This window comes from Homo sapiens, chromosome 6 (genome assembly GCF_000001405.40).
Source record: "Homo sapiens chromosome 6, GRCh38.p14 Primary Assembly".
Classification (NCBI taxonomy): Eukaryota; Metazoa; Chordata; class Mammalia; order Primates; family Hominidae; genus Homo; species Homo sapiens.
Genome location: NC_000006.12, coordinates 46,573,177 through 46,598,752, shown reverse-complemented (window position 1 = coordinate 46,598,752; position 25,576 = coordinate 46,573,177). Strand labels below are relative to the sequence as shown.

At 36.9% G+C, this 25,576-nt stretch overlaps 1 protein-coding gene across 11 annotated transcripts in view, besides 2 other annotated features; it reads left to right on the top strand.

The window, feature by feature from the left end:
* The window catches only part of CYP39A1 (cytochrome P450 family 39 subfamily A member 1), a 103,239-nt gene that overhangs the window by 54,066 nt on the left and 23,597 nt on the right, over positions 1–25,576 (top strand). For 4 of the 11 annotated variants that reach the window (NM_001278739.2, NM_001278738.2, XM_017010924.2 and 1 more), the window contains 3 exons: positions 2,633–2,766; positions 10,624–10,719; positions 11,588–11,676. In NM_001278739.2, the coding sequence (NP_001265668.1) occupies positions 2,633–2,766; positions 10,624–10,719; positions 11,588–11,676 (319 nt within the window). Of the gene's footprint in view, positions 1–2,632; positions 2,767–10,623; positions 10,720–11,587; positions 11,677–12,260; positions 14,645–15,171; positions 15,784–25,576 lie in introns of those variants that run through there. The other 7 variants (XM_017010922.2, XM_017010923.2, XM_017010921.2 and 4 more) reach the window with 3 other exon arrangements.
* Positions 22,687–23,187: an enhancer, noted in NCBI's record as "H3K4me1 hESC enhancer chr6:46543303-46543803 (GRCh37/hg19 assembly coordinates)". NCBI's record gives its function as "activates a minimal SCP1, AML or CMV promoter by ChIP-STARR-seq in primed H9 embryonic stem cells {active_cell/tissue: H9 hESC(primed)}" and the evidence as "EXISTENCE:reporter gene assay evidence [ECO:0000049][PMID:30033119]".
* Positions 23,188–23,688: an enhancer, noted in NCBI's record as "H3K4me1 hESC enhancer chr6:46542802-46543302 (GRCh37/hg19 assembly coordinates)". NCBI's record gives its function as "activates a minimal SCP1, AML or CMV promoter by ChIP-STARR-seq in primed H9 embryonic stem cells {active_cell/tissue: H9 hESC(primed)}" and the evidence as "EXISTENCE:reporter gene assay evidence [ECO:0000049][PMID:30033119]".

Below are 25,576 nucleotides of genomic sequence, written 5' to 3'. Positions count from 1 at the left end.
TAGTCTTTTTGATGGTAAAGATCTCCAAAACTTAAATTTCTTATATTTCCTTAGCACTTTATTCTCCAGTGAATGCCAAACATTTGTCTATTTGATTTAGCAATGATATCTGTTACATATGCAAAATCTCAGCCACTTTTCAAATAAAGAATTCTGACCATGGCTTTTCTAAATTATTTTTCCGAATTAGTTTAGAAAATGTTGGGATAGTTTGGGGAAAATGTAAACTAAGTAAAATGTATGGTACCCCTGTCTTTCCATGGTGTATCAAGACAGTTTTCAGTTGGTGATCATGTTTTAGTTCTTAATAACTACTCATAGATTATGCCATGTGCACGAAAGTTTATGCCATGTGCTAGTAATCTTCAGACATTAAAAATAGGGTTGGTTTGCTTTTTCGGAGGATTGCCTTGGAAATAATCTGTATCCTAATTTATATAGCTAGTTATCTTTTATGTAGCTAATGATTTGCTTGTATGGATATTGGTAGAAGACAGATTCCATGTTACAAAAAGTTTGAGAATAACAGTGTAAATAACTGTTTTATTGCAGGATTTCTCAAAGCCTGTAATACACTAATGTGTCCAGTGAATCACCAATAACATGTAGCATTTTTCGTATTTGGTTGCCCATGAACCTTTTTCCTCCTTCATACGTTTGACATCTTGCAAATATTTCATAGAACACAATTTGGAAAAACTGTGGCATTTAGGTTGTGAAGATGCAGAAGGCATACTTATTGTTTTCCAATCTTTGTTACGGAAAAGGAAAACCAACAGTTTTGTTGGGCAATGCCTGCAGAGATTACAACAAAAATCCCATAAAAGTGCTTATCTCCTTTTAATATTAGATTGCTCAGATCTGAGCAAATAAGCCGAAGGTCTTAATTTAATACAGAATAGTGCTGTATATCACTGTTTCATTGTTGAGGTGTTAACACTCCCTCAGCCTAAGACAGGAAGTTTCCAATTTCTCTAGCCTCCGGATGTTCCAGAATGGCATTTAGGATCGTCTGTAGTATGGCCTTAGTGGATCTCTCACTGTTCCATCACATATGTCTCACCTTCTGGGCAAACTGGACCCATTGCCATTTTCTAAATGTACTCATGTTGTCTGCAGTCTTACTTTTGTTCTTCCTCTTTGCCTAAAATATCCACCCATTCACCTCCCTATGTTGAAGTTGGACCATTTGCTAATTTAATATATATATACTGGGGTTGACTCTATGCAAGAAACTAATCATATTTGTAGTTTTAGAGAAATATATTCATAAAATATTTTCTTTTTCATCTAGTTGGATGTGAACCCTATCTGCTTTAAACTACCTTAGCTGTGAACCCTATCTGCTTTTAACTACCTTAGAATATTTTACATCTTAGAAAATAGTTTCTTTGCCTACATGTTGTACTAGTCAACTGTGTGCTTGTCTCTTACCTCCTAGTAGACTAAGTGTATTGCAAGCAAGAGCTGCGCCTTAGTTATTGTAATACTGGTACAGCCTGTCTCAGCTCCTGGTCCCTACGTGGTACTTAAGAATCTGTCAGATTGAATGGAGTTCATAGGTTCCTAGACTCCACTAACCAAAGGTGTTTGCTTCTGACTCCTTAGGAATTCTATCTATACTGACAGAAAAGGTTTCCCAGGCAGCACCCAATAAACCTTTTCCTGCAAAATGGGCTTGCTTTTGAACACGCCTCATCCAGAGTCAAAGAGAGACATGGCTGGAGACCCTAGTTCTACTCTTACCCACTCATTCCCAAGATGGTCTGAAAGCAAATGTGAAAAAGAGAAATGCGTTGACTTAATTAAACTGACAATATTGTTGTTGACTTTTCTTAAGCAAATACTGTCAAAAACAAATTGAAAGCGCAGTTGTTTCAAGTAATTTTCAAAATGCAAACATTTTACTTGAAATATTGTTAACTAAACTGTCTAATTTGACTGAAAGTTCCTGCCATTACTTTAGATGGTACAAAGGTTGATGGTTGATGCCCTTCGTCCACCCCACCCCCTCCTTTTTCAGGTGCTTTCAGTCTAAAGATCAAATAAAGTATGCACATCACGTTAAGAAAGTTTGATGCACCTGTGTTTAGAGGGCATCTTCATTCTTCCAGCTCAGATACTTGTGCCCCATTGCCCCTTTTCCAGTTGTTTTTTTGAAATGAATGATTTAGGGGGAAAAAAAAAAGCAATTCAAAAGGGTAAAGGCAGAAGAAAAAGGCCGGATGGCTTCTCGTATCTTTTTCTTTGTGCTTTTGATGTCAGTCTTTTATTGCTTTTTACATAAGTGGAATGAGAATTTAGACAAGAAAAAGATGAGTAAAACCTTTCTGACAAGGACTGTCTTAGCTATTTGATAGCTATAAGACTGTGGGAACCTAAGTTGGATACCAATCCATCACATTACAGTAATCAACATTGGCTTAGTTTTTTGTGTCATACATTTTACCTTGTCAAGAGAAAAGTGATAAAGAAAAAGAGGCAATTAATGACTAAACCTGTAATAGGTAATAGTAATAGGAACACTTTACTTGCTGTCAGAGGCAACATCTAACCTCTGCTGATGAGCTTACGTGAAATCACTTTCTGACCTCTGTAGTCTATTTATTTCTCATTAAAAATTTTTTTACAGGCAAAGATAAGATTAAAGTGTCTGAGGATGACCTGGAGAATCTCCTTCTAATTAAATGGTGTGTTTTGGAAACCATTCGTTTAAAAGCTCCTGGTGTCATTACTAGAAAAGTGGTGAAGCCTGTGGAAATTTTGGTAAGCTTTGGTTTGGTTTTAAATGAATCAACCTTCTACAAAAAAAGTACACATTTTGCCCACATATATTTTTCAGGTTGACATATCTTGATTTATTTTTACTTGACAAATAAATATTTTATATATTTGTCTTGTACAACATGTGGTTTTGAAATATGTATACATTATGGAATGGCTAAATCAAACTAATTAAAATATGCATCACTTCACTTGCTTATCAGTTTTCTGTGTAAGAAGACTAAAAATCTATTCTCTTGGTAATTTTCAGGAAAACAATATGTCATTACTAGGAATAGTCACCATGTTATACAATAGACCTCTTGAACTTACTCCTCCTGTCTAACTGAAGTTTTGTATCCTTTGACTAATATCTCTCCAGGTCCTCCTCCACCCCTTCTTTACCCTTCAATCCCCGGTAACTACCATTCTACTCTATTTCTGAGCTCACTTTTTTTAGATTCAACATATAAGTGAAAATACACTTATATGTGGTTTGTCATTCTTCCTGGCTTGTTTCACTTAACAAAATGTTTTCTAGTTTCATTCATGTTGTCACAAATGAGAGCATTTCCTTCTTTTTAAAGGTTAAATAGTATTCCATTATGTATATATACATTTTATAAACATGGGAGTGCAGATATGTCTTCAACATACTGATTTCATTTCCTTTAGATATGTACCCAGTAGTGGGATTGCTAGATCATATAGTAGTTCTATTTTTAATTTTTTGAGGAACCTTCATACTGTTTACCATATGGCTATACTAATTTACATTCCCACCGATAGTGTGCAAGTGTTCCCTTTTCTCTACATCCTCTTCCACAATTATCTTTCATCTTTATGATATAGCCATTCTACAGGAGCAAGGTGATAGATCCTTGTGTTTTTAATTTATATTTTCTTGATGATTAGTAATGTTGAGCATTTTTTTATACCTGTTGGCCATTTGTATGCCTTCTTTTGAGAAATGTCTATTCAGATTCCTTGCCAATTTTTAAAAATCATTTTTTTTGTTTTTGTTTTTTACTAGTGAGTTGTTTAAGTTTCTTGTATATTTTGGATATTAACCTCTTGTCAGATGTATGGCCTGCAAAAATTTTCCCCCATTAGGTTGTCTCTTCATTCTGTTGACTGTTTCTTTGGCTATACATAAGCTTTTTAGTTTAATGTAATCCCATTTTTCTATTTTTGCTTTGGTTACCTGTGCTTTTGGATTCATATTCTCAAAAAATTGTTGCCCAGATCACTGTCATGGGGTCTTTTCCCATATGTTTTCTTCTGGTAGTTTACAGTTTCAGGTCTTACTTTCAAGTCTTTAATCTATTACAGTTGATTTTTGTATATGGAGTGAAATACAGGTCTAATTTCATTCTTATAAATGTGGATGTCCAGTTTTCCCAACATCATTTATTGAAGAAACTGTCCATTTTCTATTGTATGTTCTTGGAACCTTTGTTGACATTCAATTGACTGTAAATGTGTGTATTTATTCTGGGGCTGTCTATTCTGTTCTATTGATCTATGTGCCTGGTTTTATGCCAGTACCATGCTGTTTTGATTACTGTAGCTTTATAATATATTTTGAAGTCAAATAGTGTGATGATTCAGGTTTTTTCTTTGTTCAAGGGTCTTTTGTAGTTTCATATGTTTTTTCTATTTCTGTAAAAATGTCATTAGAATTTTGATAGCATATATTATGTAATTTCTTGAATTCCATTGAGCACAAAATGACCCTAGAACAGGTTATTAATAAGAGTTGTGTAGCAATGTTTCATTAATATAGATATTTATCTTATGGCAAGTACTTTAAGTAAAACATAATAACCCTTTAATAATCATTCTGGCCATCTGATTCTGAATCAGAATCAATATAATCCTATTTAAATCAGGCAGGTGAATTGAATGGTCTCTTGTCTACTGATTCAACCAACATGAATTTCTTAGCACCAATGAGCTAAGGAATTCAGGATGTGAAGAAAGTTATTTTGCATAGCTGGAAGACAATTTTAGGCCACAGATTACAGATATGGGAACAGATAACAGGAATATATTGGATAATCTCAATTTATATTAGGAGGCAGCAGCTGAGTGAAGGTGAGAGGATTTTCTATGGACAAAGTAGGAGGAAATTCTCAAGTGCACCATGAAAGGGTATGTGCACATGGCAGACTTATTAGTTAAATATTTGTGAATCAATATGGCATAACAAATTATTTTTTTTGAAATGATTTGACTTAGGGCCTGCATTATCCAAATGGATCACATTTAATCAGTCCTCTACTATTGTTTGCTTTTTTATATGCAGCTTGAGAGTGCTTGGATTCAAACCAAGGAAATTTTGTAATAGAACACAGATAAAAATCCAAATTTTGTAAAAGTTGAAACTTTTGCTTCCAAAGGAGACATGATTTATTTAACTGACCTTATGTAAATTAGAGTATTTAGTTTTTGTGGGATTTCAACAGTTCATACTTTTATTTATTTTTATTTTATTTTAATTTTTTTGAGACAGGGTCTCTGTCACCAAGGCTGGAGTGCAGTGACACAATCTCAGCTCACTACAACCTACAAGTAGCTCTTCCACGGTCTTTTAACCTCATGTATTAGTCAGGATTATGTTATAAAGGGAGTTGTAACTTTTGTTGGGGCTATTAACCTCCCATATTCTTTCAAAAGTAATTTTACTTATTTTGACAACTTTGCCAGAAGAGATACCCATGCTCAAACACATGCACACAGATGTATACTCTTGCATGCACAATACCCCATCTGCACAACCTCTTAAATGTACTACCGCAACTATCTAATATTCTCTTTGTATGACATTAATATAGAAACCAAAGTTTCAGCATAGTGTAAATCTGTCATTAAAATTTTTTTAACACTAATTCTTCACTTTTTATGCATCTAGAGAGTTTTCACATTTATTTCAGTGGTCACATAATAGTCCATTTTCTTGAAAGCATAAATATTTAGTAGTTTTTGACTCTTCAGAATTTAGATTGTTTTACTTTGTGGTTATGTTAATGTGGTAATTATTTGCATCTCTGTTGCCCATGCTGGAGTGCAGTGACATGATCTTGGCTCACTGCAACCACCACCTCCCAGGTTCAAGCAATTCTCCTGCCTCAGCCTCCCAAGTAGCTGAGATTACAGGAGTGTGCCATCATGCCCAGTTGATTTTTGTATTTTTAGTAAAGCCAGGATTTCACCATGTTGGCCAGACTGGTCTGGAACTCCTGACCTCAGGTGATCTGCCCGCCTTGGCCTCCCAAAGTGCTGGGATTACAGGCATAAACGACCACGCTCAGCTGAAAAGTTTTCTGTTTTAATAAAACACATCTACACAATTTTGAATTGGTAGCAAAGTCATCTAATATATGGATATAGTATACATTTTTAAACTAGTCCCTGTTCTTGCATATGTATGTGGCTTCCAATTTTTCACTTCTATAAACAGTGTGAAGATGAACATCCTTTTAGCTAAATCCTTGTATACATTACTAATTATTTCCTTAGTATAAATTCATACAATTTGGTTCTTTCAAGATTCATATGTTTTCAAAAACAGGTGGAATGTTTTTGCTGAACTGAAGTTTAACGATATGTTCCCAGAAATTTGTATTTTAAAACACATTTCACATGGGCTTATCTATGTTGAGTAATGACAGAGGCTCATATTTTCTCCTCTGTTGGGCAACTGGTCAATGTTCCTTTTTATGCATACTAGAAGTATTCTCCCACCACCCTTCCCTAAGGTAGTTCGAACAGGCTCTCTTTGTTTGCTTTTGCCTCTGTGCCCTTTCCTGGAAATGGAATGAATTGAAATGGACGAACACTCTCTACTTTCTTGGATTTACTGCATTCTTTCTTTCTCTTTATTATGCTACCTTTCTAAAACTCTGAAACTTCTACCTGTGTTCTCTTTTCAAGGTTTTATATGTTTAGTAGAAAAGTTTATCTTCAAGAATATCCAGAAAAGAGTAACAAAAAAGAGTATTGGAAAAGATGAGTAATTGAGAAATATTAATTATCCTTTAAAACCTGTTATAAAGCCAAAAGAATTAAAATGTTATGATCCCGGTGTCAGACCAGATGTTCAGATCAATAGAAATAACTGGAAAGATAACAAAGAATTAGCTTCCTTATACATAATAATTTAATGTAGGATAAGTGACTCTTTTAATAAATCAATGTAAAGGGAAGAAATTAATATGTGGCTTGGGATGACTGACTAAAAGTGGGTTTTTTTTAAACTTCTTAAGTAGAAGTTCTCAAACTTTTTGGTTTCATGATCCCATCACACTCTTCAGAATTATTGAAGATCCCAAAGAGTTTTTGTCTATGTCTATTTTAAATCTATCAATATTAGCTATATTTTAAATTTAAACTGAGAAATTGTTAAAATATTAATTTGGTGATTCATTTAAAATAACAAAAACCTCTTACATGCTAACATGATACATAGTTTTCTAAAACATTAACTATATTTATTTTATAAAAAGAAGAGGACTGCCTGATTTTAAGATTAATCAATGAAGCCACAAAAAGGATAAACAGATTTGAATGTACCATAGCAAAATTTAATGTCTCATTTTTTAAAAGTGTAACTCAAATGTGAATATAATGTAAACATCAATATACAACACAACTATAAATAATTTTAATATTTAAAGAACTGACACAAATCAATAAGAATGAGTGTCACATAGGTTAATCAGGACAGAACATAAAAGTTTATAGGATAAAATAAATGGAAAAACTCTCAAACATAAAAATGTAAATGTAAAAACATAAAAATGTAAACCTAAAACAACCATTAGAAATGTTAGATTACAGATAAAAGGGTAATGAAACTTACATTCTCATAAATTATAGTTAGAAATATATTTTGCTACAAAATTTGAGGAAACAGTTGAATAACATGCATTTATAGCCTTAAAATATGCATGTCCTGTGTCATCTGAACATCTGTGTTAACAGAATCTATGTGGAAAAATGCTGTGTGGAAGAAAGTGCTTATGGTGGCACTATTTACCACAGGAAAAAAAGTAGGGAATGATTACATTAATTATTGTTTAATGTACCCAATGGAAGATTAAACAGTCATTGGAGGAAGAAATATTCACCATGAATATACAATAAAAAGGGAAAACAGGTTATGAAGTTAAGAGAACTAAGAAAGATTAAATTGGTTATTCAGGAGGATCAAAACTATGTTTAAAGTTTAACAACAACAAAATATCTCCTATTAATACTAAGTAAACATACTGGAAAGAAATCTAGCTAGTTAATGACTGTCTTTGGGTGTCAGAACTCTGGATTTTCTTTTCTAGTTTTTCTGCTTTTCAGAATTTTCCAAACTTTTTGTAGAGATAAGTTTTTATCATACAAAAGAATATACTCTTTAATTTAAAAAATACTTATTTTGTTTTTATTTTTTTTCGGCACAAACACCAACCAAGCCTCTGGTTGAAAGCTAGGAGAAAAGGCTGTGTGCTTTAGACCTCCTGCTATAGATGTGTTGCCTCTGGACTCCTCCTTTCTCTTTAAGATTATGTATTCCTGGCACCCACTTAGCTCTGAGCACCTTTCTTGAATTACAACACAGAGTCCTGCCTTCTCTTCCTTTTTTAAAGAAAGCCCCACTTCTAGATTATCAGATGAAGCTTGTTTTGGCTTCACACCATCCAGGTGAGGTGGGCTGGCCAGGCTCAATTCTGTCTACCTGAGAGATGCAGTTCTTGCAACACACAGAAGTTGTAGCTTCCCTTTGCTAGTGATCTGTGTTCTCATTCTGCAACTGTTTTGCCTCCCTCTTGATCTTTCACTTCATCTGTCATGTAAGTAAAGATAGGGACTGTTTAGGCTGGGCGTGATGATGTCTGCTTGCTCAGAGGGTTTCTTGACAGAACCAGCTCCAGCATTCATTCCTTCATGCTATTTATCAGTCTGGCAGTTGCTGCTGCTGCAACAGGCACCTCTTTCTTGTCTCCTCCCTGTTGCTAGTGGTAATTCTGTTACTGAGGACCTGTATGAAGTTCTCCTCCCTTTGCTAACCTGCTTTATAGGCTACAACAGTCAGCAGCCTCCAAGTCATGATCACAGGTCAACAGCAACTTAAGAGGACTTTGCGGTGGGAAGGGGAAGGGCTGTGGTTGTCCTGACTGAAGGCCCATCCCTGTGCTGCCCCCAACCCTGCTCTCAAATACACATCACGGCCCTCTGTGGCTGATTCCAGAGTCAGTAATGACCTCTCTAGCCTCAGTTCCAATGGAAGTAAAACAGACAGGATTGGGATCTCACAGGTCTCTCTATTTTAAAATGATAGAAGGTACCTGCAAAAGCTTCACTGTCTTCCCAGTCTTGGATTTGAGTCTCTCCAGCTCTCCCAGTTCTGAAATTGCCAAATCTCAAGCAATACTCAGCTGCCACTAGAGCCAACAGGGGTTCTCCTGGGTTAAAAAAATGATGACATCCCTACCCATACTCCACTCATAGCTACCAGTAAAAGACATATTTTTATTTTTCTTCGAGACAGAATGTCACTCTGTCTCCCAGGCTAGAGTACAGTGGCACAATCATAGCTCACTGTACCCTCAACCTCCTGGGCTCAAGCAATCCTCCTGTCTCAACCACCCAAGTAGCTGAGACTACAGGTGCACCATCATCCCCAGCTAATATTTTTCATTTTTTTGTAGAGACAAGGTCTTCCTATGTTGCCTAGGCTGGTCTCAAACTCCTGAGCTCAAAGGATCCTCCGACCAAGGCCTCCCAAAGTGCTAGGATTACAGGCATGAGCCACCACACCCAGCAGAAGACATGTTTTTAATTGTAAGGTGTTTATGCTTTGGATAAGTAAACCTAAAGTAAAAGTTTTTCAAATATCTTGAGGACATTTCAAAATTATACACGGTTAAATAGATGTGGCTTATGATGATGGGCAGTGGGAATTACCTAATAAAATATCTCTACCTTAGTAAAGTTGGTAGCTATCTAGCAATTATAAAACTTGGGAGATCTCTTTGTCCTGTGATTCCTGAACATGGTGATGATAGGGAGATTTTGTGAAATGGGTTTTAGTTCTTTGTATAGTTTATAGATCATGAAAATCTGTTGTCATATGAATCAGGAAGGATAATGTAGACTACCTGAGGAAACACATTGTTTATCCTCATTTCCACAAGCACTGTGACCCCAAACACAAACCCAACCAAACAAATACACAACACTTGCCTTTTCCTGTGTCTTCCTAACCAGTCGTTTTTCATTTGTTTCTTTCCTAATAACCGGTGCTGGACTGAGGAAAGAAAAGTCCACTGCCCCTGCTCTAACACTGTCATTAGTATCCACAAGAACAGGACATCCTCTGCCCCTCTTCTCAGTGCTACCATGGCCATTGTCCCTGTCTCAGAGTCCAATTTTTCTGTTTCATAACCTGAGCCTCCACTGTAGTTTCTGCCTTCAAGAACTCTGGCCACAAACCCTAATATCAAACATCAAAAGGTACATTAGAAGGGACTTATACTAGTTTCTAAAATTTTGACATTTAGCTAATATTTCCTTCCATATAACTGAATATATGTACATGTGAATCAGAATTATATAATTTCCTCTATGTAACCAAATATATGTATATGGAAATCAGAATTATATAGATACTATATTATTAGATTTTATATTATTTATAATTAGATATTATATAATTATATAGATATTAAAAATTAGATTTTCTCACATTCAATTATAAAAGGTATATCTTCACCACAATATAATTGTAGCATCATTTTTAGTGGCCCAAATTCTCTTTAAAGTATATTTCAAAAAAATGATTTGCAGCTGATTTTTCTGTTATAGAATTACATCATTCCTTCTGGTGACTTGTTGATGTTGTCTCCATTTTGGCTGCATAGAAATCCAAAGTATTTTCCTGAGCCTGAATTGTTCAAACCTGTAAGTTATCTCTTTCAGTATATATTATTCTTTCATTTTAATTTCTTTTTATTTCAGAAGGGTAAATTCAGAAATTAATTAGGACTATATAATTAAGCAGCCATATTTCTCTCGTAACTAAGAACAAAGTTGACTACAAAGTACAGAACAGATTTGCAATATAGATAGTGCAACATTTACAAATCAGTTAGAAAAGTTTTTGTAGTAAACTTCTCTAACTTTAAAATACATTTTACATGAAACCAGAAGGGCATGTTCAAGTGAATAAGCCTGTTTTTGATAGAAGACTTATTTCATGTTCTTCAGGCAATTGCTTCTGTCATTGGTTTCCAAGGAGTACAAAAAAATACAAATAAAGCAAATTAAAACCGTGATCTGCTGTTTCTTAGAACTGGAAAGTTACAGGGCCGAACAGAATGTTAAGAGGTCATTTAGTCTGTTCTCTGCCTTTAGGTAAAACTGTCAAAAATGGCATCCAGATGCATTCATTCTGCATCCCAAGCTTTTTCTAACAGGCAGGGATGTCAGTGTCTTACTACTAAATTTATTACCAAGAGCAATTTTATGACGGAGCCTGAGACCTTATTATAAATATTCTTCCTCTTCTTAGGTCAATTCTGTGGTTGATTTACCTTATCATTTACATTTACCACTTAACAGAATTTTTTAAAAACCTTTTTATTTATAAGTTCATGTTCCAGAAACACAATTGTGTCTAATATTAATAACAGGGTGGAAAAAATTACCAACAACCCTGCAACTTTATATGCAAGGATTAGCTGTACAAGGTCATTTTTAGCCTAGAGAAATAAAGTTAAGCTTATTTATATAAGGCTGATTTGGAAAAAAAAATGTTTTCTTCCCACAGGAACGTTGGAAAAAGGCAAATTTAGAGAAGCACTCTTTCTTGGACTGCTTCATGGCATTTGGAAGCGGGAAGTTCCAGTGTCCTGCAAGGTCAGTGAGACAGCTGGGCCACATTTATCCAGAAAGTCTGCAGAAAGATGATGGCTCAGAGGGGAACAACTTTGGCTTAATCTCTTTATATATATATTTAAACTATAGGGAAATCCAGAAGAACACATTTTGTCTGGTTTATCTGTGGTCCTGTGCAGTGTCTCTCTGGGAATATCTAAAGTGGCTTCTGATAGAAGACCTTATGAGAAGAGAACATTACACTTGCCAGATGCCACATCAAAGCAGCGTTTATGGTTCAAATTGTCAGCTTTCACACAAACATAATTGGAAGTGGTTTGAGTGCTACCTTCTTTAAAAACAAAGATAGAATTATATTTCTTTCACTATGACATTGTCATGGATATTTGCTAGGGTTCTAGAAAATCTTTGGCTTGGAGCATAGCAGGCACTTACTAGGTGGTTTTTGTCTATGGTGTTAGTTTGGCTTGTGAAAACTTTCTTTTGATACCTTTTATAGTTAAATTAATCTGGCACCCAGCCCTCCTCCTCAGTGTGATACCCTGTTCTAATGCAAGTGTCCATTGTTTAATGAAAGTTATTGTTATCTTTATTTGTTCAAGCAGAAAAGGTTTTTGAACATCTCATCTGTGCCAGGCCCTCTTCTAAGCTTCAGAGAGCACTGAGGAAGACCAACATGGTCCCTGACTTCATAGAATTTACAATCTACATTAAATATGTCACATTTCTTCATTGGGGATGATTCTGTAGGGGAAATGTCAGTACCTGTTTATGACAAAATCTCACTCAATAAATGTAGAAATCCATTAAATTTTTATATTTAAAAAATTGTAGTTTCTTGAAGTCAGTCCTCTTCATTATTTGAACAATAATGCCAGTCCATATTTGCAGTTATTAATTGCTCCGCAGTATCCATTCCATCCTTCCGTTCTTCATGTGTTTAGAGTATTAGTATGATTTTGGTAATTTACGCTTCCCCTAAAATAGTATTAATCAGTCATAGCCAATCATGGAAATTCTATCCTCATTTTAGGCATTATTCTAGAAATCTAAGCCTAAGCAAATGGGTGCCTGGTGTTTTGATGAGCTGCTTGTCCTGAGGTAGGAAGTTGAGCTAAACTGGCCAAACAGAGTGAAAGGAGAGACTTCTTCAGGATGAGGCCCCGTTCATCCTGTCCCATTGGATATGAACAAGGAAGCATGCAGCCTCAGATGTTACTAGCAGCAAGTTCAAGAGGAATAAGCTGTATGATGGTGCAGTCTGTAGATGGCAGAGCAGAAATATAGTAGGAGCCTGAATCCCTGGAATCTCAGTAATATTATTTTGTCGCTGAATTCATCAGATTTGAGGAGCTTGTCTACTTCCTGTTATGTTAGATAATAAGTGTCCTTACTTTTTAAGTCACTTTTAGTTGAGGGTTCCATTGTTTGGAGCTGAATACCCACCATATACTGACATACCCACCATAAAACTCCAAAGCTGAACATTATAATTGAGTATCAGTTACTTTAGGGACATCATATAACACACAACAACATTAGCAACAAAAACCCATCATGCTCATCCTGCCTCTCATATTATTTTCACTTTAGAGAAGCAGTTCTTAAGCCAATAACAAATTTTTTGTTTTTGTCACATACCAAATGTCAATGTCCTAAGAATAGTTCTTCTAAAAACAATAGATGCTACTTTTTTCAGGTTTCTTTATATCACTATATCTAGCTATCTGTCTGTCTATCTATCTATCTATCTATCTATCTATCTATCTATCTATACCAATAGCAACTAAATAATTTATTGTAATCATCCTTGACCTGGAGCTAGCAGTATTTTAAACCAATGACTGAAATGTCTTGCAATGAAGTGTGTAGTATGGGCCAATGGTCAAGGATTACCTGTTGACTATTGTTTCCAAGAGGCGCTATTACTACCTTCCATGATGACATTTGAGGCTAACAGACATTTTTTTGAGTTTGAAAGTAATTGGTATAATAAAGGGAACCATGATGCTGTAACTCAATCAATAGTATCTTCTTTAGACAGAAACTACGTATTTTTAGAGCACGCTGAGCTCTTACTCTGTGCAAGGCAGTGCTCTGGCTACCATAGGGGCTTTGAGCATGAGTAAGACATGTTTCAACCCACATGAGAAACAACTTAGTAGGGGCAAAGTGGACATTCAATTAATAAATAACTGCAAGGATTTCTGGTCGAGAGATGCCAAAGCGTCACACTGAGCTTCAAGAGAAAGGATATGTCTGGTCAAGATGCTCTCAGAAGATTTCCTGGGGAAAGTGGCGGGAGACCTTTTAGCTTGAGACAACAGAATGAGCAAAGGGTTACTAAGCACAGAGGCATGTGGCTTAAGGCCTTATGGTTTTACTGTTACTGGGACCAGATTACAGTGGTGAGAAGTAAGGCTGAAAATGTACACTGGCCCAATTGAAAAGGCCCCTTAATACCTGATGTATGAGTTTGTATGCAGCTCACATGGCACTAATAAAGAACTAAAAGGTTTTGGGCAGAGTGGATTCATGTGAAGCATGACTTAGGTTATATGGTTATGCTAATATTCTATGTGTGAGACAGGGAGTGGTAGAATCTACCAGATTTGGAAGATGATTAGAAGCGGGGGTCAGGTGAGAGGAAGGCTTTGAGGTGGACTGTGGCTTTAAATCCAGGTGTCTGGTAGAGGTGGTGGAAATACAGAAATCAGGAATGAGAGAGAGTCTGGGAGCAAGATCTGAAGTTTTCCTTTGAAAGTAGAGTGTGTCAAAATATATATATCACTTAACCAAAATCTACCAGTTAAATATAAATGTTGAATACATGTGACCTATTTAAGAAACCTCATCAAGTTTAGTTTTCTACTGTTTCTGTTTTAAAATGTCCTTAATTTTGTCTTATTACTTATTACTTATTTTAAACAGCCAATGCATGAAATGTTTTGTTTCTAAAGAGAAATAAAATAGCAAATTGTTCAGGAAAGCAAATGACTTCATTTGGACAATGTATACCAAGGTAGATTTTTTTTGCACTAGAAATTTAATCCCACAAATCCTTAGTTGTAATCCCCAGAAAATTGCACTCGTTCTTGATTTGTGTTCCAGGCGCCAATTTATTTTCTCATGCACCAAATACTCAGTGAGTCAGAGAAAGTTGCCTGTAATATGGCTGATGATCAAAGTTCATCATGAACACACACTCTTATGGCCTTGCAGCTGTCACTTCTTGGAGTTCAAGCCACTGAGGTGGTATGAGAACCCCTCTCACAAGCAAACACAGAAGGTTCTGCTGATTTAAGTCAGTATGTACTCGGTGCTGCCATGGGATAACAACCAAAAATCAGAATGGAAGAACTGTGGTTCCTCTTCGTATTCGTGGGGGTTCTGAAAGTAGGTTTGGAGCAGGATCCCACTGCGAGGCACTTCCTTGTAGCACATGGAAGAAAATCTTTCTAGTAATTCTACTACTGGAGAAGTCTGGTGATTTATTTCTGTTTTGTTTTGTTTCAGAAAAACAAACAGGAAAGAGCAGCATGAACCACCAGACTTCTTCAGAAATTGTAGCTTGCAAAGTGAAGAGTCTCATTATAGCAGACAGTCTCACATTAAACTATACGATTTAAATGGAGGAATAAGACGGAGGGTTTTCAGTGTGGAGGAAAACTTCTTTGAGTGAGCACCTCTGAGAGTTGATGATCTTAGGGATGTGCTTGCTATACCTGTCCCCTGGAACACACACCAAAACCAACAAGCTTGATTTTCCTTGGTTCTAATTCCTGCAAGAGGATGCCTGATTTGCTGTGTCATTGTGCAAATTGATATGGCTTAAACTCCAGTGTAAAACAACAGCCCTGATCTTTGGCAAGATTAATCTGCTTATAAAGGCATGCTTGGATAAGAAGAGAGTGTAATAAGAGGAAGGCTGCAATACTTGAGAAGTTAAAATGAAGCATGGATTCCTCAGGAATAGAAAGTGTGATTTTTACTTTTTGTGTATGTTTGGGTCTTTCATGTATTCTAGGGAGTCCTAGGCCACAAAGTCATGGGCTTGTCTTGAGTTCCTAATGAAAATCTCACATCTATTGGAAAATTAATTAAAATCAGAGGTCCATCTAATAGTAATTTAGTAGTACTGTTTTTAACCAAACATCTCTTGAGCATCTAGTATTAATACAATTATTCTTTTATTTGATAACTATTTACTGAGTGTGTGCTATGTGTCAGGTTAGGGTTCTGGGAGTTATCATGGAAAACAAATCAGATGAAGCCCCTTTCCTTTAGGATGTTATATTCCCACCCAAGTCACCTTGTTAAAAACTGGGAAGAGTCAAAGACTCATAACATTTCTGAATTGGTTATAATGTGGTTGGGGAAATGAGACATAGCCATATGAAAAAAAAAAGCCCTACTTAACAGCTTAAGATGGCACATGACAAATGCCAGAAGACTCAGATATGTAACAACTGCCATAAGAATTTGGAGGAAGGGGGATTAGAAAAGGCTTTTGGACTAGATTAGAATAATCAGTAAACAACATAAAAGAAAGGTCAGCTTCCTAAGATGCAGCAGTATCAAACTTCAAGGGAAGAAAAAAAATTAAGTGCTTATAGGAATATAATATACCTATATGTTAGTGATAGCAAGGCGATGATATATTTGGGACTTATGATGCTCTGAGCACATCTTTTTCTATATATTTATGTTAAAGATAATGCCATTTTAAAAGCTGTGCCTTATATAGTAAAGTATCTGCACACTCTTGTATTTGAGAAGTGTTATTAGTAGCTTTCTCCCTTTTATACTTAGAAATAGCTGATTGCTTTTAAGGAGTGAGCAAATTTAAATCCCCATAAATTTAGTGACAAGTTAAAAATCCAATTTATTCTGAGGAATTTGTTCCATAAACAAATGCATCCCCTCAACTCTAGTTGTTAAATATAATTAAAGGAATTGTATTTACTTGTATAATTGTTTCCTAACATTTTCACAAGAGTGTGCACATATCCTGGAGAGTATATAAAAGAGGGTTAGGAATGAGGGTGGGAAAGGTGAATGTGGCTAATTCTGAGACTCTGAGCCAGGTTATCAGAATCCTTATTGATTTTTAGCCATGCTTCTCTCTTCTCACTGCTTTGCAAAGGAGCAATGAGTCACTCAAAGGAGCATAGAAACCATTGGCAAAATTGCAGTCATTATTTTCCTGGCCATTTCATTTTGATACTTCATTATGAAGCTAAGACATAAGTATGTCAAGAACAGAAGAACAGAAACAGCAATTCAAGAGTGGTCTTTTTTTCTTTTTCAACTTTTATTTTGGGTTCAAGGGGGGTACATGTGCAAGTTTGTTGCATGGGTAGATTGAGTGTCTCAGGAGTTTGATATACAAATGATTTGTCAACCAGGTAGTAAGCACAGTGCCTCACCCCCCTCCCATGCTCCACCCACAACAATTCCCTCTTTGTGTCCATGTGTATTTAATGTTTAGCTCCCACTTGTAAGTGAGAACATGCTGTATTTGGTTTTCTGTTCCTGTATTAATTCATTTAGGATAATGATCTTCAGCTGTATCCATGTTGCTGCAAAGGACAGGATTTCATTCTTTTTATAGCTGCACAGGATTTCATGGTGTTACTATGTACCATACTTTCTTTTTCTTTTCTCTGTCTCTCTCTTTTTTTTTTTTTTTCTGAGACAGGCCCTGTTGCCCAGGCTAAAGTGCACTGGCGTGATCATAGCTCACTGTAGCTTCAACCTCCTGTGCTCAAGCATCCTCCTGCCTCAGCCTCCTGAGTCACTGGGCCTACAGGCACATGCCATAGTGCCCAGCTAATTTTAAAAAAAATTTTAGTAGAGACAAGGTCTCACTATGTTTCATAGGCTAGTCTTGAACTCCTGAGCTCAAGCAATTCTCCCACCTTGGCCTCCTAAAGTGCTGAGATTACAGGCATGAGCCACTGCACCTGGCCCCACATTATTTTAAATCCAGTCCACTGTTAGTGGGCATCTAGGTTGATTTCATGTCTTTGCTATTGTGAATAGTGTTGCAATGAACCTATGAATGAATGTGTATTTTTGGTATAATCATTTATATTCCTTTGGGTATAATGGGATTGCTGGGTTGAATGGTAGTTCTAAGTTCTTTGAGAAATCTCCGAACTGCTTTTTATAGTGACCGAACTATTTTACATTCTCATCAGCAATGTATAAGCATTCCCTTTTCTCCTCAACCTCACCAACGTCTGTTATTTTTTGACTTTTTAATGATAACCGTTCTGAATGATGTGAGACGTTATCTCATTGTGGTTTTCATTTGCATTTCTCTAACGATTGGTAATGTTGAACAGTTTTTTATATACTTGTTTCCCATGTGTATTTCTTTTTTTGAGAAATGTCTGTTCATATTATTTGCCCATTTTTTTTAAATGGGGTTGTGTTTTGCTTGCTGATTTAAGTTCCTTACAGATTCTGGATATTAGACCTTTGTGAGATGCATATGCCAAATATTTTCTCCCATTCTGTAGATTGTCTGTTTACTCCGTTGACAGTTTCTCTTACTGTGCAGAAGCTTTTCAGTTTAATTAGGTCCCACCTGTCTATTTTTGTTTTTATTGCAATGGCTTTTGGAGACTTTATCATGAAATCCTTGGCAAGGCCTATGTCCAGAATGGTAGTTCCTTGATTTTCTTTTACAGCCATTAAAGTTTTAGGTCTTACATTTAAGTCTTCAATTCATCTTGAGTTGATTTTTGTATACAGTGAAAGGAAGGGGTCCAGTTTCAGTCTTCTGCATATGGCTAGCTAGTTTATCCCAGCACCATTTATTGAACAGGGTATCTTTTCCCCATTGCTTGTTTTTATTGCTTACTTATCCGATCTGATGTTTTTAAGTGTGCAGCTTTATTCCTGGATTCTCTAATTTGTTCCATTGGTCCATATGTCTGTTTTTGTACCAGTATCATGCTGTTTGGGTTACTGTGGCCTTGTAGTATAGTTTTAAGTCAGGTAATGTGATGTGTCTAGCTTTGTCCTTTTGCTTAGGATTATTTTGGTAATTTGGGCTCTTTTTTGGTTCCATATGGATTTTAGAATAGTTTTTTCCAATTCTGTGGAAAATGACTTTGGTAGTTTGATAGGAATAGCATTGAATATTTAAATTCCTTGTGCAGTATGACCGTTTTAACAATATTGATTCTTCCTATCTATGAGCATGGAACACTTTCTCCATTTGTTTGTGTCATATCTGATTTCTTTCCTTGGTGTTTTTTAATTCTTATTTTAAATATATTTTACCTCCCTGGTTAGCTGTGTTCCTAGGTATTTTATGTGGGTGGCTGTTGTGAATGGGAGTGCATTCTTGATTTGGCTCTCAGCTTGGGTGTTGTTGGTGTATAGAAATACCACTGATTTTTACACATTGATTTTGTATTCTGAAACTTTACTGAAGTTATTTATCAGTTTTAGGAGATTTGGGACAGACAGTAGGGTTTTCTAGGTATAGAATCATATCGTTTGTGAAGAGAGATAGTTTGATTTATTCTCTTCCTATTTGGATGCCTTTTATTTCTTTCTCTTGCCTGATTACTCTGGCTTGGACTTCTAGTACTAGGTTGAATTGGAGTATGAGAGTTGGGCATTCTTGTCTTCTTTCGGTTTTCAAGGGGAAGGGTTCCGATTTTTGCCCATTCAGCATGATGTCAGTTATGAGTTTATTGTAGATGGCTCTCATTATTTTGAGGTATGTTCCTCCTATGCCTAGTTTGTTGAGGGTTTTTAACATGAAGGAATGTGGAATTTTATCGAAGGCCTTTTCTGCATCTATTGAGATGATCATGTATTTTTTGTTTTTAGTTTAGTTTATGAGATGAATCACATTGATTGATTTGTTTATATTGAACCAATCTTGTATCCAAGGTAAATAAAGTAAACAAAGTAAGTTTTATTTACTCTAAAGTAGACTTTATTCCTGGGATACAAAGTATGGTGGATTAGCTTTTTGGTATATGGCTGAAATCAATTTGCTAGTATTTTGTTGAGAATTGTTGCATGTATGTTATTCAGCAATATTGGCTTGAAGTTTTCTTTTTTCATTGTCTCTGCCAGATTTTGGTATCAGAGTGATGCTGTCCTCATAGAATGAGTTAGGGAGGAGTCCTTCCTCCTTGACTTTTTTGAATAATTTCAGTACCAATAATTTCAAGATTGGTACCAGCTCTTCTTTATGTATCTGGTAGAATTCAGCTGTGCATCCTTCTATTCCAGGGCTTTTTTGGTTGTTAGATTATAATATAATAACGAGTTTTGATTCCATTTCAGAACTCATTATTGGTCTGTTCAGGATTTCAGTTTCTTCCTGGTAAAATCTTCGAAAGCTGCATGTTTCCAGGAACTTATTCATTTATTCTAGGTTTCCAAGTTTGTGTGCATAGATGTGTTCATAATACTCTCTGAGGGTTTTTTAAATTATTTCTGTGGGATTGGTTGTAATATCCCCTTTGTCATTTCTGATTGTGTTTATTTGGATCTTTTCTCTTTTTTTTTCTTTATTAATCTATCTAGCTGGTGGTCTATGAATCTTAGTTATTCTTTCAAAAAACAAAGTTTTGGTTTTCTTAATCTTTTGTATGGATTTTTGCGTCTCGATTTTTGCATCTCAGTTTTGGTCAACTCCAGTTTTGGTCATTTATTTTCTTCTGTTAGCTTTGGGGTTGGTTTGTGCTTGGTTTTCTAGTTCCCATAGGTGATATTAGATTGTTAATTTGAGATCTTTCTAACTTCTTGTTGTAGGCATTTGGTGCTGTAAACTTTCCTCTTACCACTGATTTAGCTGTGTCTCAGAGATTCTGGTATATTGTATATTTGTTTTCATTCATTTCCAAGTATTTGTTTTTATTTCTGCCTTAATTTCATTCTTTAAAGTCATTCAGGAGCAGAGCAATTAATTTCTATCTAATTTTATGGTTTTGAGAGATGTTCTTGGTATTAATTTCTATTTTTATTGCACTGTGGTCTGAGAGTGTGGTTGGTATGGTTTTGGTTTTTTGAATTTGTTGAGTATTGCTTTTATGACCCAGCATGTGGTCAATCTTAGAGTATGTGCCATGTGCATATGAGGATAATGTATATTCTGTTGTTGGGTAGAGTATTCTGTAGATGTCTGTTTGGTCCATTTGGTCAAGTGTTGAATTTAGGTTCTGAATATATTTGTTAGATTTTCTGCTTTGATGACTTGTCTGACACTGTCAGTGTGTTGTTAAAGTCTCCCACTATTATTGTGTGGTATGTAAGTATCAATATAAGCCTCTAAGAATTTTTTTTTATGAATCTGGGTGCTTCAGCATTAGATTCATGCATATTTAGGAAAGTTAACTCTTCTTGTTGAATTTAACCCTTTATCATTAGGTAACACCCTTCTTTGTCCTTTTTGAGCATTGTTGGTTTAAAGTCTCTTCTGTTTGAAGTAAGAATAACAACCCCTACTCTTTTTTTATTTTCTGTTTGCTTGATAGATCTTTCTCTATCCCCTTACCTTGAGTCTTTGGGTGTCATTGCATGTGAAATGGGCCTCTTGAAGACAGAATACAGTTGGGTCTTGTTTCTTTATCCAGCTTGCCACTCTGTGCCTTTTAAATGAGGTTCTTAGCCTGTTTATATTCAAGGTTAATATCAGTATGTGAAGATTTGATCTTGTCACCGTGTTGTTCACTGGTTCTTAAGTAGACTTGATTGTGTAGTTGCTTTATAGTGTCAGTGGGCTATGTACTTAAGTGTGTTTTTGTGGCGGCAGATAATGATCTTTGATTTCTGTTTGGTAGTCCCTTAAGGACCTCTTGTAAGGCAGGTCTAGTGGTAATGAATTCTGTTCACATTTTCTTGTCTGAAAAGGATTTTATTTCTCCTTTGCTTATGAATCTTAGTTTTGTTGGCTATGAAGTCCTTGGTTAGAATTTCTCTGCTTTAAGGATGCTAAATATACACCCCCAATCTCTCATGGCATGTAAGGTTTCTGCTGAAAGTTTCATTGTTAGCCTGATGGCAATTCCTTTATACATGATCTGCCCCTTCTCCATTGCTGGCTCTAAGATTTTTTCTTTTGCATTGACTTTGGAGAATCTTATGAGCATGTCAACCTCTCTAGTGAAGTTGAGGAAATCTTTGTGGACAATATCCTGAAATATGTTTTCCAAGTTGCTTGTTCTCTCTCCATCTTTTTCAGGAATGCCAATAAGTTGTAGGTTTGGTTTCTTAACATAATCCCATATTTCTAAAAGACTTTGTTCATTTTTATAAATTATTTTTTCTTTATTGTTGTCTGCCTGCGTTGATTTGAAGGAGCTGTCTTCAAGCCCTGAGATTCTTTCCTCAACTTGGTTTACTCTGTTATCAGTGCTTCCAGTTGCATTCTGAAATTCCTGTGGCGAATTTCTCATTTCCAGAAATTCAGTTTGGTTCTTTGTTAAAATGGCTATCACATCTTTCAACTCTTGGACCATTTCACTGTTTTCCTTGGATTGGGTTTCAACCTTCTCCTATATCTTGATGAGCTTCCTTGCCATCCAGATTCTGAATTCTATATCTGTCATTTCAGATATTTCAGGCTGGTTGAGAACTATAGCTGGGGAGCTAATGTGGTAGTTTGGAGGTTAAAAAATGCTCTGGCTTTCAGAGTTGCCAGAATTCTTGCACTGGTTCCTTCTCATCTGTGTGAGCTGATGTTCTTTTAATCTTTTGGATGGGACTTTTTGCTTCTTATATTCTTTGATACCTGATATGGTTTGGATCTACATCCCCACCCAAATCTCATATTGAATTGGAATCCTTCGTTTTGGAGGCGGGTCCTGGTGGGAGGTGATTGGATAATGGAGATGTTTTCCACGAATGATTTAGTACCATCCCTCTTGGCTCTGTCCTCATAATACTGACTGAGTTGTTGTGAGATCTGGTTGTTTAAAAGTGTGTAGCACATCCCCCATCTCTTTCTTGCTCCTGTTCCTGCCACGTAAGAAGCTTGCTCCCCCTTTGCCTTCCATCATGATTGGAAGCTTCCTGAAGTTCGGCCATATCCACCCCATCAGAATCAGAAGCCACTATGTTTCCTGAACAGCCAGCTGAACCATGAGCCAATTAAACCTTTTTTCTTCATAAATTACAGTCTCAGGTATTTCTTTATATCAACGTGAGAATGGACTAATACAATGCCCTTGAGGATTTGGCTGTGGTATAAGTTGGATTTAGTTGACTGGCTTCATATCTGGATATTTTCAGAGGCCCAAGGCTCAGCTCATCACTCCTGGACTGGGTGTTCTAACCCAGGAGGGCTGGGAGCAGGCCCACAGCTTTGTTCTGGGGCCCCTTGAGATTAAAGCACGGGCTGTGCTGGAGCGTTTGAGGTGTTTCCAGTCTGTTGGCAACAACACTTGACTGGAGCTTCTGGCAAAAGTGCTCTGGCAGGGCAGTGGTGGGCCCCTGTGTGCATGTATTCCAGTGAGGTGGGGACAGGGGGATGCTATGAGTGAGTGCACATCAATGTGGGAAGGCTGCAGGTGGGTGCACACTGGCAAGATGCAAAAGTGCTCCAATGGGTATGCAGCATCTGCCAGTGAAACAACTCGTGGTGGCCATTGACAAGCACTTTGGCTGGGCAATTGAGGCTGGGCTGCATGTGGTTGCAGCCAGGCAGGGACCCTGAGAGAGGCCAGCAGACTGGGGTGTGCTCAAATCAGACTGCATGGACAAGACAACCCCACTCTCTCCAGGTCCAGCAGCTAACAAAGGCTAAAGTCACCTAAAGGAGTATGGTGAGCCTTGTGGGATGAGTGTCCATGGCCATGCTCCACTATAGACATTCCCATGTCAAACCCTCTGGGCTCTTTCCAGGCTGGAATTCTGTTTCCACCAACTCTCCAGGCAATTATCACTAGCAGCTCAAATGTCATGGGAGTTGTGGGATCTCCCATAGCTAGGATCTCAGAAGCCCCTGGTGAAGGTGAGCCACTCCATGCCTATTTCACTTACCCTTTCTTTAGGAGGCTCTTGGGCCCAGAAATGAGTCCTGGTGCTCGGCAACCCCCTGCAGTGTTCCCAACTTTCTCTACTTTCAGCCTATGGTCTGTGTCCTTTTTGTGTCCACTCTCCATGCCTTCTTTCCAAAGACTTGTTCAGAGTATGCTGGTCTCCTTGATAGTCTAGTCTCTTTCAGTGGGAGAATTTCTTCCTGGCTGTATCTAGTTGGCCATCTTGGCTCCCTAAAAAAATTAACAGTGATTTTTGATACTTAGACCAAAGTGATTCTAAAACAAACTGTGTTTATTTCTGAGCAAAAATTTCAGGATGACACCCTTTTCCTTTATTTACAAAATAGATCTCCAGCCCCCATCCTGTGCACAGAATACCTGGGCAGGATATGTATCTATGGAGAGAAAGAAAGGCCACTTAGGGTTGGATATCCCTTTTTTCTCCCATGGACTTTCTCATCTCATCTTAACTGAATGACTGCTCTTTAATAAGTTAGGTATCTCTAATGTTCAAAAGAAATTTCATTCCTAAGAAAAGGGGACTAGAATTAAAACTGCTATTTTACAATATTGTCCATAGGTTATTATCTCCTCATCACCTAATTCCTTCTCCTCGCTTTCTAATAGTTTTAATTTTCACTTGGATATCCATGGGGATTCTGAAGCACTGATTCCACTCCCAGCTCTGTAGAGATGGAACACTTCCCTAAGACAATCAGCACATGATGTCCCTGCCCCCTCTCTCCTTTACGATAGTGATTAGTTTAGGTATTGGCAGATGTTTTAAGCAGGAAAATTAACTACTAGGGTTTCTATTGAGACCTCTGGGTCAAAAATAATCATTCCTTCCAGGATCTTCATAAAGACACATTTGACCCCAGAAACTGGTGCAGCTATTTTGAGACTAGAAAAGCAGACAATATTATGCTGAAGCTGATAACATAAAACAGAGCAGTAGAAGGAAACTGACTCCATGGCAACATCACTGAGCTGCTGGAATGATCTCTTCCTGAAGCCAGCATGAGCCACAGGTTTTTCATATACATAAAGCAATGCATTTCCTTCAATATAGAAATCAGTCTGATGTGTGTTTTCTGTTCCTTGCAACCAAAAGTATCCTCAGTAATGTAATTCCCTTAAAAGCAAGAGTTTTCTTTCAAGAATTATTGAACTCCATGAAATCTTGTATTAGCACTTCCTAATCATGTAAGTTAATTGCTTTCTAAATAACCTGTGCTTTTTTAAAGGGCTTAGCTTCATTTACTTTGGTTATATCAGTTAAGACTGTCAAATGCCTGTCTCAGACACTGATGACACCCACTGCTATAGAATTATGGCCCTGTTCTCCAGGTGCCATAGATGTTCTATACACTCCTGAGCCCAGGACTCTGGCTCTGATGTTGCTCTGATCACCTATGTGCTGAATACTGGGACCACCACTGCCACAAAAATGCCTGTGCCCTGGAACCAGTGCTACTGTGGTTACCAGCATGCCCTTGTGACAGACTCAGCACCAAGAGGATCCCTTTGGCTAGGACTCCCCACAGTGTCATAGGCGGCCCCAGGAAAAAGAATAGCAGGAGGACCACAGCAATCTTTGACACTAAGGCCCTCTAAAACTTTCATCACTACTGCTGCCTTCAAATACATCTACAACCTTGGCCACTGAGGACCCCCACAGTCCTGTCAAATATTGATTACAGCTGATGGAACTGCACAGACTATGCCACCACATCCTGTTCACTTAGCATAGCACTCACCCACAAATGAAAGTATTTCCCCACAAATCCAGCCCATCAGTCTTGAAGAGATGACTGCTACCTCAAATGCACAGATATCATTGCAAGGTCATAAACACATACACAAAGGAAAAATGACATCACCAAAGGACCACTATAATTTTC